The 12,433-nt window shown below is 46.2% G+C and overlaps 1 long non-coding RNA gene across 1 annotated transcript; it reads right to left on the bottom strand.

Moving 5' to 3' along the window:
• Positions 1-8,372: 8,372 nt before the first annotated feature.
• On the bottom strand, positions 8,373-9,123 carry LINC01728 (long intergenic non-protein coding RNA 1728). Its single transcript, NR_134577.1, has 2 exons — positions 9,044-9,123; positions 8,373-8,818 (listed from the first exon to the last, which is right to left on the bottom strand). It is a non-coding gene; the product is annotated as a long intergenic non-protein coding RNA 1728 (long non-coding RNA).
• Between the last annotated feature and the right edge of the window lie 3,310 nt (positions 9,124-12,433).

The raw sequence follows: 12,433 nt of genomic DNA, 5'->3' as shown, positions 1-12,433 counted from the left end.
AAGCTCTCTGAGCCGCTCACATAAGAGAGGCGCCTGGGAGTCCAGGATCTTAACTTCCAGGCCTAGGCTCTTGAAGGTCACAGGTGGATGGGGAACAGCCCCCAGGCCTTGGCTGCAGCCTGTGGCCCTCCTTCCACTCCCAGAATCATGGGCTTCCACCCACAGCCCCTGCCAGGTTAGGCCCGGATTTTCCTTTCCTCTCACATTGCCCCAGTCAGAATCATTATTTACACTTCTCTTTCTGGTACCATGATGTATGTGAGAGCTGAAGCTGGGAGCTCCCACATAGCCAGAAATGGTTGTTCACGGTGCCCCAGGGCCAACACAGTGCCTGGCACACAGCGTGTGCTCAAAAAGTATTTGTTGACCCAGTGAATCATGAATGAGTGAATCTATCAGAATGGATTCATTTCATCCTATCAAGCACTCTTTTAGATTAAAACCATTTTCCTCATTTAGTTCCATTTCCTGCTGTCCTCTGCTGCCAGGTCCAGAACTGGAGCAGGCTACCAAGTTTACAGATGTGATCCCTGCTGGAGAGAGGCTGTGTTCAGACAGATGTGTGGACAGAAATGGCAGTGGAGGGCAAGGAGTGCCAATGGGGGTTACCCAGGGGCCACAGGGGCTGGGAGTGGAGGCTGCAGGAGGCAAGAAGGGATGCAGAAAGACTTCCAGGATGGGGACACTCCCAAACGAGGTCTCAGAGATGACCAGGAGCCGGCTGAGCAAAGCAGAATTCTTTAGTCAGAAGACACAGTAAGAGCAAAGACAGGGTGGTTTGAAGTAGCCTGCTATACACAGGGCTCCCCATGAAGCTGTCTATTGGTGGAGAATCCAGGGCATGGCAGAAAGGGCCTGGATACAGCTGGAGGGGCAAGCCAGAGGGAGGACCCCAAGAGCCAGATTTAGGAGCTCAAAGCCAAGTCGACCATGTACAGTTGTATAGGTTGTGTACTGTGTAAAGGAAGTGAATGAAGTTGAAATCCAGCCTATGGTCTGCTGGCCAAACCCTGTGGACACAGTTAAACCCTTCACTTAAAGAGGCAGCAAGGTCAGCTTGCAAAGGGGTCAGTAGCTTATGTTTCCATTTCCAGGGGTGGACAGTGGTGTCCTCAGCTCCACGCAATATGTGTGTGGTATGGGGGAAGGAGGCACTACATCTGAAGGGAGGCCATGCAAAAGAATCAGGACAAATGAGAAGGCCCTGGAGAACTATTAGCAGCTTCTGGGGCTGCCAGGGATGGCTGGACATGCACCCTGCCATCTGTACAGGGCTTGAAGACACAGTGAAAATGCTCAGCTCTCAGGTCGATCCTAGATTAAGAGTGAAGGGAAGGCAGAAGGGGGACAGATAATGATAAAAGGAGGGAGTTCTGGTTTTGGAGGTCTCTAAGGGATGCAGTTGGAGGAAAGCTGAGAGGGCTGAGGGTGGAATGGTGAGGACTTCCAGTTGGATTTTTACATTAATGACGGGGAGTGACAGTCCTAAGGGGAAGACAGTCTCTAGGGCAGTGGTCTCCAACCTTTTAGGCACCAGGGACCGGTTTTGTGGAAGACAATTTTCCCACGGACCGGTGGTACGGGAGAAGGATGGTTTAGGAATGGAACTGTTCCACCTCTGATCATCAGGCATTAGATTCTTATAAGGAGAGTGCAACCCAGATCCCTCACATGAGCAGTTCACAATAGGGTTCGTGCTCCTATGAGAATCTGATACTGCCGCTGATCTGATAGGAGGTGGAGCTCGGGTGGTAATTCTCACTTGCCTGCCATTCACCTCCTGCTGTGCGGCCCAGTTCCTAACAGGCTACAGACCGGTGGAGGTCCATGGGCCTAGGGGTTGGAAACCACTGCTCTAGGGTGTATTGTCCACAGTGAGTAGGGGCTGGTGTTTGAAGAAGGGAAAGTCCAGGATCAGGGGTCTAAGGGTGGGCTGGATCCCCAGGTAGGAGAATGAGGGCCTCAGGCCTCAGGCCAGCAGCTAGACTTGGGAGGAGGCCTGGACATGACTTCCTCCAGGAAGGGTAGGGGTGTGATCTGCACTGTGTTGGGGATGCTTAGCCTTGCTCCTTGCACATTGCAGATGAGTTATAAATATTTGTTCAATCAATGACTAAGTTGATAACATCAGTGATCCAGTTCCCTGGATCTGTGTGAATGTGATCGGTGAATGTCTGAGAGGTTTGAAAGGGCAGCTTGTGCCAGGGGAGGTGAGTGTGTGGATAGTGTGTATCTTCTGGGTAACATTAGCTACTGCAACAAGTAAGCTCCGAATTTCACTGGCTTAATCTCAGAAGTCTGTTTCCTGCTCACTGATGACTCCAGTTCACTGAAAAGTCCAGTTCCTTGTTTGCTGACAGCTTTCCTCCATGTGGTGATTCAGGGATCCAGGCTTCCTCTATCACTGGCTCCACCATCCCCCTGCTTCACATAAACCCCAGCCCAGAGGAGACACATCACTTCTGCTCACCTTCCCTTGATGAGAACTTCTCATATAGCTAACCCCAGATGCAAGGCAGGCGAGGAAATGTAGTGCTAGACTGGAAAGATGCCTCCTCAAAACAATTTTACACCATGGAAAGGCCAGCAGAGATTTTGGGTGCACTGACATAAGAAGTGACAGAAACAAGAGGAAAGTGGGGCCTCGAGGCACACATTTGTGCCAGTGGCCAAGGACATGAGCAGCCACCCTGAATTCAGTTCTTGGCCTTGCCTGAGATTCTAACTGGAACATGGAGACGATGTGTATATAGGGAGGGAGGAGAAAAGCATGAGTGGCTCTCTCACCCACTGATTGCTATATTTGATCCTCACTTAGTCTTGGGAGATGGAGCTCCTTTAGCTCATTATCCCTCTTTTACAGAGGAGCAAACAGGTTGAGAGAGAGTGAGCGAGCCTTGGGCAGGGTCACTCCTGTGAAGCCGGGACTAGAACCCAGGGCATCTGTTTCCCAGTCCTGTACTGGTTCACCAAATACCCTAAGTCTAAACTGATTCTCCAGAACACATTTCTGTGTTATTCTGGAAAAACAATGTATAGTCTGCAACATCACAATTTTGTTCCCAAGCATCGAGAGAGTGGCACATGGCCATCAGGCAGGACGATTTCTTTCAACTGACAGCTTGGAGGAGGAAGCTTTTATTCCCGGGGCCCCCAGGGGAGGGGTTTGGCCAGGCCTCTGCTGTGTCAGGAATTCTTCCATTGTAGCTTACCAACTTTGTTACAAAGTATAAGATCTTTTAACATATTTTTAAACACTATCAATTCTGCTCTCTGTTCCTTGCATTTCTTCTTTGTCCTGAAGCTCAACCCGGGCAAAAACATTTTTCCCATCAAAAATTCAATGGGGCTCTTACAAAGTGACAGCAGATTAAATAGCTGCATTTATGATCCCCTCCTAGATACACCTCCCCGTTTTTTTGGGTTTTTTTTTTTTTTTTTTTTTTTTTTTTTTTGGCCCAGCACCAAAAATCAAATGCCAAAAAGGCAACGGATCTCAGCTGTTTTGAAACAAGCTGTGTCGGTCCAAAGGTTATTTCATTTTGGACACTGTGTGACCCTGTGTTTGGGCCTCATTTTAAATTAATAAACGCATGAGGATAGTCAGTACTCTAACCCCAGAGACCAGCGTGCTGCCTGGCCCATGGCAGCCTCAGTAAATTTAGGAGGAAACCCACACCCTGGAGTTCTCTGACCTTGGTGAAAGGCAGTTGAGTAGACTTGGCAGAGAAACCTTGTCATTTATGGTTTTCCATTTTAAATCTAAGCATTTTCACATTGTCTTAAAATTTATAAATGAATGGGTGTGGTGAGTATTCCAACTGTTCCCAGTGCCTAGCACAGTGTGACTCAGAGTAAATAAAAAAAAATTTTGAATAAATGAACCAAATAGGTAATTAACATCTCAAAGTGGGCTTTCATGCATTGCGTTGTTTCCTGCAAACAAGTTCCGGAGGATACTTTCCATGTACTAAAGGGAACTCGTTGCAAATTGGATGACTGGGAGAGGCGAAGTGGCAGCTCTGGGGCCTGGAGGGACACCCCCCACCTCAGCTGTCCCACCTCTCCTGCCCTTGACTGCCGCCCCCATTCTAGCTGCTTGGGCTCCCATCTCTGCTTTTCCCCCTCCTCACCGCCCCTCCCTGCTGCTGCGCACAGCCTTCCATCTCCTCCCACCTATCCTTTGACCCAGAACCCACTCCATCCCTCCACCCAGCAGTCCTAGCCCCTGCCTTTAGCTTGGATGTCAGCCTGGTCTTGCTTTCTGAGAGAAGAGGTCTCCTGTGACTCCTCCTGTCCCCTATCATCACACCTGGTGCAGAGGAGGGGCAGGAGGGTCCAGGTGGGCCACCAGGATGGAGGAGTGGTGTACGTGGGGCTTTCAGCTCTAGGTACTTAGGAACCTGGCCCAGCCTGCCCACCTGGAAGTAGCCTGACCTGGTGCGGGTGCAGGGAGCCGATATCTGCAGGAAGGAGTTGATGGACAGAGTTTAAGGCTCTTCCTCTCCTTACCAAAGTATTTATTTAGCTCCCAACTTTACTCCCACCCTAGAGTTAACATTAATGATATTAACCATTTCTCTCATATGTTTAAAAGTTTTTTTATTTCACAGTAGTATTTATCTTTTAGTTTTATGATTTATTTTGCTCTATAGAAATTTTTTATTTTATGCAATTAAATCGTTCAATCTTTTCTTTATTTTTCTAAAGATTACTAAACTATTCAGTTGTGTTCTCTTTTATACTGTATGGATTTTTTTTTTTCTTTTTATCTTCCATTTTTCTGAAGTCTCTTTTGGAATAAGACTCAGGGACAGTTTCTAGCTTTTTTTTTTTTTAATCTAAATGACTAGCTAATTTAAATAAAATTTAATAAGTAATTCATTATTTCCTCCCCAAATGTGAAGTGTCAATTTCATTATCCGCTGAACAGCCGTGATGCTGGAGCCCAAGTCTGCACTCGGCGGCACCCTTATTCATCACTCCATGCGCCTGTGGTTTGGTTTCCATTAATTTACCTTTATTAGATGTTTTGGTAAACAAGTAGGGCAAGTTCCACTTCTTATGTTTACTTTTCAGGAAATTCAATTCTATTCTTGTATACCAATTGTCCCAGATTTATAATAACTTCGTTAAGTTCCTATCAGTTTGAGTAGGGTGTTTTTACTGGAATTACATTGAGTTAAACACTCATCTAAGAAGAACAGACATCCTTACTATACTAAAACTTCCTATCAAAGATGTGTCTTCTTTTATTGAAGTCCTATTTCATATCCTTCAGTGGAGATTCATTGCTTTTTTTCTGCTAGTAGACCTGTTACTGATCTTATTTCTAGGAATCTTCCTCCAGGCACGCTTTTATTTGCCTTCCAGAATACCACACGTTCCTGTTTTCCTCCTACCTCCCAGGTCACTTCTTTTTGGTGTCTTTTACTGGTTCTTTCTCTTCTCTCAGATCTCTTGTTTTGTTTGGTTTTGTTTTGAGATGGAGTCTCACTCTGCCATCCAGACTGGAATGCAGTGGTACAATCTTGGCTCACTGCAACCTCCGCGCCCCCAACCCCCAGGTTCAAGTGATTCTCCTGCCTCAGCCTGGGATTACAGGCATGCGCCACCATGCCCGGCTAATTTATGTTGTATTCTTAGTAGAGACAGGGGTTTCCTCATGTTGGCCAGGCTGGTCTCGAACTCCTGACTTCAGGTGATCCACCCGCCTCCGCCTCCCAAAGTGTTGGGATTACAGGTGTGAGCCACAGTACCCGGCCTCTTCTCCCAGACCTCTTAACATTGGGCTCTGGAGCTCAGACTTGTAATTCTCAAAGATTCTACTGAATAAACCAGCAATTCAGAGATAAATATCTTTTTTTTTTTTTTTTTTTTTGAGATGGAGTCTCGCTCTGTCGTCAGCTGGAGTGCAGTGGTGTGATCTTGGCTCATTGCAACCTCCGATTTCCTGGTTCAAGCATTTCTCCTGCCTCAGCCTCCCGAGTAGCTGGGATTACAGGCAAGCACCATCACGCCCAGCTAATTTTTGTATTTTTAGTAGAGACGGGGTTTCACCATGTTGGCCAGGATGGTCTCGATCTCCTGACCTCGTGATCCGCCCACCTTGGTCTCCCAAAGTGCTCCAATTACAAGCGTGAGCCACCGCACCCATCCCAGAGATAAATATCTTTGTGCAAACGATTCTTCCACTTTTCTCTTTAGGATTCCTCTCAAGTGGAAACAATGAGCAAAAAAGCCACAGAGAATTCAGTTCCTTTTCAGGTCCACACTGACTAGAGTTGCCTGGATTCCTGCAGAGTTGGCATGGCATAGCTCAGAGAGATTTGGGAGACTGGGATAAAAAAGCCTCTTGTCTAGGCCGGGTACGGTGGTTCAAGCCTGTAATCCCAGCACTTTGGGAGGCCAACGTGAGCAGATCACTTAAGGTCAGGAGTTCAAGACCAGCCTGGCCAACATGGTGAAACCCCATCTCTACTAAAAATACAAAAATTAGCCAGGCATGGTGGCGCACACCTGTATCCCAGCTACTCCGGAGGCTGAGGTGGAAGAATTGCTTGAACCCAGGAGGTGGAGGTTGCAGTGAGCTGAGATTGCACCACTGCACTCCAGCCTGGGCGACAGAGTAAGACACTGTCTCAAAAAATTAATTAAAATAAAATAAAAAGGCCGTACGCGGTGGCTCACGCCTGTAATCCCAGCACTTTAGGAGGCCGAGGCGGGTGGATCACGAGGTCAAGAGATCGAGACCATCCTGGCCAACATGGTGAAACCCCGTCTCTACTAAAAATACAAAAATTAGCTGGGCATGATGGCGCATGCCTGTAGTCCCAGCTACTCGAGAGGCTGAGGCAGGAGAATCGCTTGAACCCGGGAGGCAGAGGTTGCAGTGAGCCGAGATCACGCCACTGTACTCCAGCCTGGCGACAGAGCAAGACTTCGTCTCTAAAAAGAAAAAAAAAAAGCATCAGAGACATTGCCTTAATATGATGGCAATTATTCAGGAGAGAGGTGAAAGTGCCTTAGGATAGAGAGGTTGCCATGAGTATGATGAGAACTGTTTGGATTCCGCATGTTTTGCAAGGGTAGAGTCAGTGGAATTTGCTTAAGAATAGGATGTAGGGTGTGAGAGAAAGGGAACATTTAAGGATATATTCAAAATGCCCAATAAATCATAAGAATTTAATTGTCATTAAGTAAGTTGCCATTGAGGTTGAGACTGGAGCAGGTTTGGGGGGAATCAGAATTTCAGTTGGGACCAGCAACACTGGAGATGTTTATTCCCATCCAAGTGGAGAGATCAGGCAGGTAGCTGGATATATGGGTCTAGGGGCCTGGGGAGTAGCCCAGAGCAGCAATACAAATTTAGGATTAAATAAGATAATAAGTAAAGCTTGTTTAGCCCTTTGGAAATCTTAGAAAGGAGACAGACAGGTCTATGCTGGGTACTTGCCTGGGCTCACTCCCTGCTAACAAACTTGCTCTAACATTATCAGTGTACACAATTTAAATCAATGCCTCTGCAAAATCACACTTTTTTTTTTTTTTTTACCATGTCAAAGTCCTTCCAGGCCTCTCACAGATGAGTTTGAATAAAAGTATGCATTAGGAGGCCAGGCATGGTGGCTCACATCTGTAATCCCAGCAGTTTGGGAGGCCGAGGCAGGAGGATGAGTTGAGGACAGTTTGAGGCCAGCCTGGGCAACATAGCAAAACCCACTGTATTAGTTCATTTTCACACTGCTGATGAAGACATACCCGAAACTGGGAAGAAAAAGAGGTTTAATTGGACTTACGGTTCCGCATGGCTGGGGAGACCTCAGAATCATGGAGGGAGACTAAAGGCACTTCTCATGTAGTGGCAGCAAGAGAAAGTCGAGGAAGAAGTAGAAGTGGAAACCCCTGATAAACCCATCAGATCTCATGAGACTTACTCACTATCATGAGAATAGCAGGGGTAAGACCAGCCCCCATGATTCAATTACCTCCTCCTGGGTCCCTCCCACAACACATACGAATTCTGGGAGATACAATTCAAGTTGAGATTTGGGCAGGGACACGGCCAAACCGTATCACCCAGTCTCTACAAAAAAATGTTTAAAAAATTAGTTTGGCATGGTGGCACATGCCTGTAGACCTAGCTATTTGGGAGGCTGATACAGGAGGATCACTTGAGCCCTGGAGGTCAAAGCTGCAGTGAGCTGCGATTGCACCATTGCACTCTAGCCTGGGCAACAGAGTGAGGCCCTGTCTCTAAAAAAATAATAATGAATAATAAAAAAATTTAAAAATAAAAGATAAAAGTGTGCATTAGGAAGACCTGAAGAACTTTCTCCAAATACTCCATTCCTGAGTCATGCCCTTACAAATTCCAGCTCAATAGACTCCGTTCTTTATTTTGTAAAAGCTTTCCCCGGGGATTTTCATGAACACCCCTGGGATCACTTATTGGTCAGAACCTTGAATGCTAAACTCGTAATGCCAAGAATATGATAAAAGAAATAAAAAAAACATGGAAACAGTCTAAATACCCAAATACTAAGGGTGGGTGTTCTTGTCTTCATTTTATTGATGAGGAATCTGCAGCTCAGAGGTGAATCCACTTTCCTAAAATCATATAGCTGGTGAATGGCAGCCAGGATGTGACTGACCCAGGTTTTAGGGCCAGACGTGTATTCTTGTCACCACCTCCTGCTGCCTTCTGCTGCAGGGTCACTCGTACTCCCACTGAGAAGGCGGAAGGCTATTGTGATGGTTTGGGTGGCAGATGCATGTCAGGAGTAAGTCCTCCTGCCCTTTTAGACAACTTGTCAGCCTGAAAGAGGTAAAGATTTGGTCAGTGAGTCTCAAATCCTAGTAAAATCAGAATTACCAAGGGGGGTTCCTGCGCCTCAACCCTGTAAGTTATGCTTCGTTAGGTCTGAGTGAGAAACACAGCCTTAAATGCAAAGTGCTAGCTGCCCCCAGTACTCAGTCATTCCACATTTCTTTCTCCCACTTCCCTCTGGATGCCCGGCATCAGATCACGAACCTCCCCTACCTCAGCACTGGCCTGGGGGTGCTGGCAGGAAGAGGGTTAAAGTCCTGAGAACTAGGGGCTCTTCTCTCATGAGATTGGAATGTGGTGGAGGGGAGTGAGCTGAGGGAGGCTGGTGGTCCAGCACTGAGCCTGGCCATTGTTGCAGAACAATTGCCCCCCAAGAACAGAACAGCAGACGCTAATTATGAGACACTTGTGTCCTCCATGTAATTATGAGATCTGTGTGACCATTAGCATAAGAAACTAGCTCGCTGGCTTGTTTTGGTTATAACTTTCCCCAAACTGCTGTACTCAGGAATCTGAAGAAGTAAAACGATGAACTCGGGGCTTCATAAAAGACTCAGCCCAGAGATTGTCAAGTTTAGGTCACATGAGAATCACCCGGATGCTTGAAAAACATGCAGATTCTCAGGCCTTGATTCCAGAAATTTGGATTTAGTGCATCTGAGTGGAAATGAAGGTGGTTTAGCCATTGAGATTCATAGAAGTCCAAACTTAGTTCTCCCTTGGAAGCTGGCAGAAGTCCTGGCACCTATCTCAAAGTTTTCTAAGTACCTCCACTCCCTGAGCAACGGCTCTCACTGCCCTGCTGATGTTGCCTGAGCCTCAGGGGTTAAGCCCAAACACTGATTGAACCCCAAGCTGACTCAAAGGGAGGAGCAAGTCAAATGACTAATTCCCTGCCTAGACAGAGCCTCAGATCTCATGGGAAAGGTAAGAGTGGAGAATAAGAACACAAACCTGGAGCAACGAGGAGTCTGGGAAGGGTCCCCCAATCCCTCACTCCTGAGTTCATCAGTCATGCAAGGATCAGAAGCCTGTCTTAATCCAGCTTGGGTAAAAGGGTAATTGATGAGTGAATTTGCTTTACGTGGAAGGGGCTGCAGCTGGCTGCAGAAATAACCAGAACCCAAAATTAAATGCCGCCTGGACTCTCTCCATGCTTACACACTGGCTTTCTGGGCCACATGGGCACCACTGCCCCCCTACTTCACATCTTCCAGGCTCTTCCATCCTAAAGAGGCGATCCTTCTTTAATTCCAACTTGAAAGTTCCCAAAGAGATCCACTTCCTCACCTGTGTGTCCAGAGAAGTAAAAGTGGCAATGACTGGCCACCCACAGAACCAGAGGGAGGGAGTAGGAGAGGGGGCCTCTTCCTGCAGGAAGGGGATGCTAGACTAGGCCAAATTAGTTCTCTAAGGCTCTTCACATGCTCTATGTCTCTTAAACCTTGTGACCACCGACTGAGACAGGTAGACTCATTCCTCATTTTGACAAATAAGGAAACTAAACAGAAGGTAGAGTGACTTTCCCAAGGTTACCCAGCTAGTCTTTGGCAGAGCTGGACTTCCTGAGCAGGTCTCCCTATATCCCAAGTCCAGTTTCTCAATGGCATTGTGCCAAATGGCATGTTCAATGCATGATGGAGACGCCAGGTTTTCTGGAATGTTTGGTCAAGTGTCCTGCAGAAGAATGACAGCTACTGAGGGAATATTGCACAGGAGACTAGACAGGTGGACTGGGATAATATTCTAGAAAAGGGAATGTTAGACTAAACTTAGGCTCTTATTTAGAATGCAATGGGGAGTCGATGAAGGTTTTGAGCAGAATTGTAATATTATTAGATTTTTAATTCTAGTCTTTAAGAAAGCTGAGCATATTCTAGTCAATGCATAGAGGTTAGGGTCTCAGGAGCCAGGCACTGTTCAAAGAACCATAGATTCTCATTTTCTACATCTCAGGAGCTGTCGCCAGTCACCCTCACCAGGACATCCACAGTCCCTGGACTGGCCAGGTTCTGGGCTCAATATGTATCCCCTCATTAACCTCACAACAAGAAGGAAATAGAAGTGATGATTCTAGTCATGGAATCCTAGCTAGTTACTGGGAGTATAAAGAATAGAGCTCCCAAAGGGGACAGGAAGGAGCTTGTTGGGTGAACAGCTGGTCTTTCTATGTGTCTATATCTCTCCATATATCAATATTTTTGTCAATATAGATACTGGTGTCAACGCCAATATTGATGTTGATATCCTATTGGTTCTGTTTCTCTGAAGAAACCTGACTAATACAGGGACCAAGAGGGGTCAAGGTGATGGCAGGAGGGCCACTTAGACATGTCCAGGTGATAGAGGTAGGACATAGGAGGAAGTCCCTTGCACATTAGAGGTCTAGGTACAACTCCGTCCCATTTTTAAAACTGAGATATAATTCACACACTATAATATTTACCCTTAAACTGCAATTCAGTGGTTTTTCATACATCCACAGAGTAGTCCAACAGTCACCACTATCAAATTCCAGAACATTTTCATCACTCTAAAAAGAAACTCTGTAACCATTAGCAACCACTCTGCATTACCCCCTTCTCCAAGCCCCTGGCAACCACTAATCTTCTTTCTGTCTCTATGGATATGCCTTTTCCAGACATTTCACATAAATGGAATCATACAATATGTGACTCTTTGTGTCCGGCTTCTTTAACAAAATGTTTTCAAGGTTCATCTGTGTTTTGCATGCATCAGTAGTTCATCCCTTTTTAAGGCTGACTAATATTTCACTGTATGGATATACCATGTTTCGTTTATCCATTCATCAGTTAATGGACATTTGGGTTCTTTCTACTTTTTGGCTATTATGAATAAAGCTGCTATGAACATTTCTGTGCAAGTTTTTGTATGAACATAGATTTTCAATTCTGGGGATCATATACCTATGAATGGAATTGCTGGTTCATGTGGTAACTGTATGTCTGACTTCATGAGGAATTGCCAGAGTTTTTCAAAGCAGCTGCACCATTTTACATTCCCACCATCAGTGTAGGCATGTCCCAATTTCTCTACATCCTCGCCAACCTTTATTATTGTCCATCATTTTTATCATAGCCATTCTAGTGGTCTGAAGTACTATCTCATTGTTTTAAGCTGGGTGCAGTGGTGCATGTCTGTAGTCCCAGATACTTGAGAGGATGAAGTGGGAGCATCACTTGAGCCCAGGAGTTTGAGGCTACAGTATGCCATGAATGTGCCTGTGAGTAGCTACTGCACTCCAGTCTGGGCACCATAGTGAGACCACATCTCTTAAAAAGAACACAAACAAAAAATGTATTCATTGTTGGCTTTTTTTTTTTTTTTTTTGAGATAGAGTCTCGCTCTGTTGCCCAGGCTGGAGTGCAGTGGCGCGATCTCGGCTCACTGCAAGCTCCGCCTCCAGGGTTCACACCATTCTCCTGCCTCAGCCTCCCAAGTAGCTGGGACTACAAGCACCCGCCACCATGCCCGGCTAATTTTTTGTATTTTTAGTACAGACAGGGTTTCACCATGTTAGCCAGGATGGTCTCGATCTTCAGACCTAATGATCTGCCCACCTCAGCCTCCCAAAGTGCTGGG

This window comes from Homo sapiens, chromosome 20 (genome assembly GCF_000001405.40).
Source record: "Homo sapiens chromosome 20, GRCh38.p14 Primary Assembly".
Classification (NCBI taxonomy): Eukaryota; Metazoa; Chordata; class Mammalia; order Primates; family Hominidae; genus Homo; species Homo sapiens.
The sequence above is the reverse complement of the archived record's forward strand: the minus strand, read 5'-3'. Positions and strand labels throughout refer to the sequence as shown.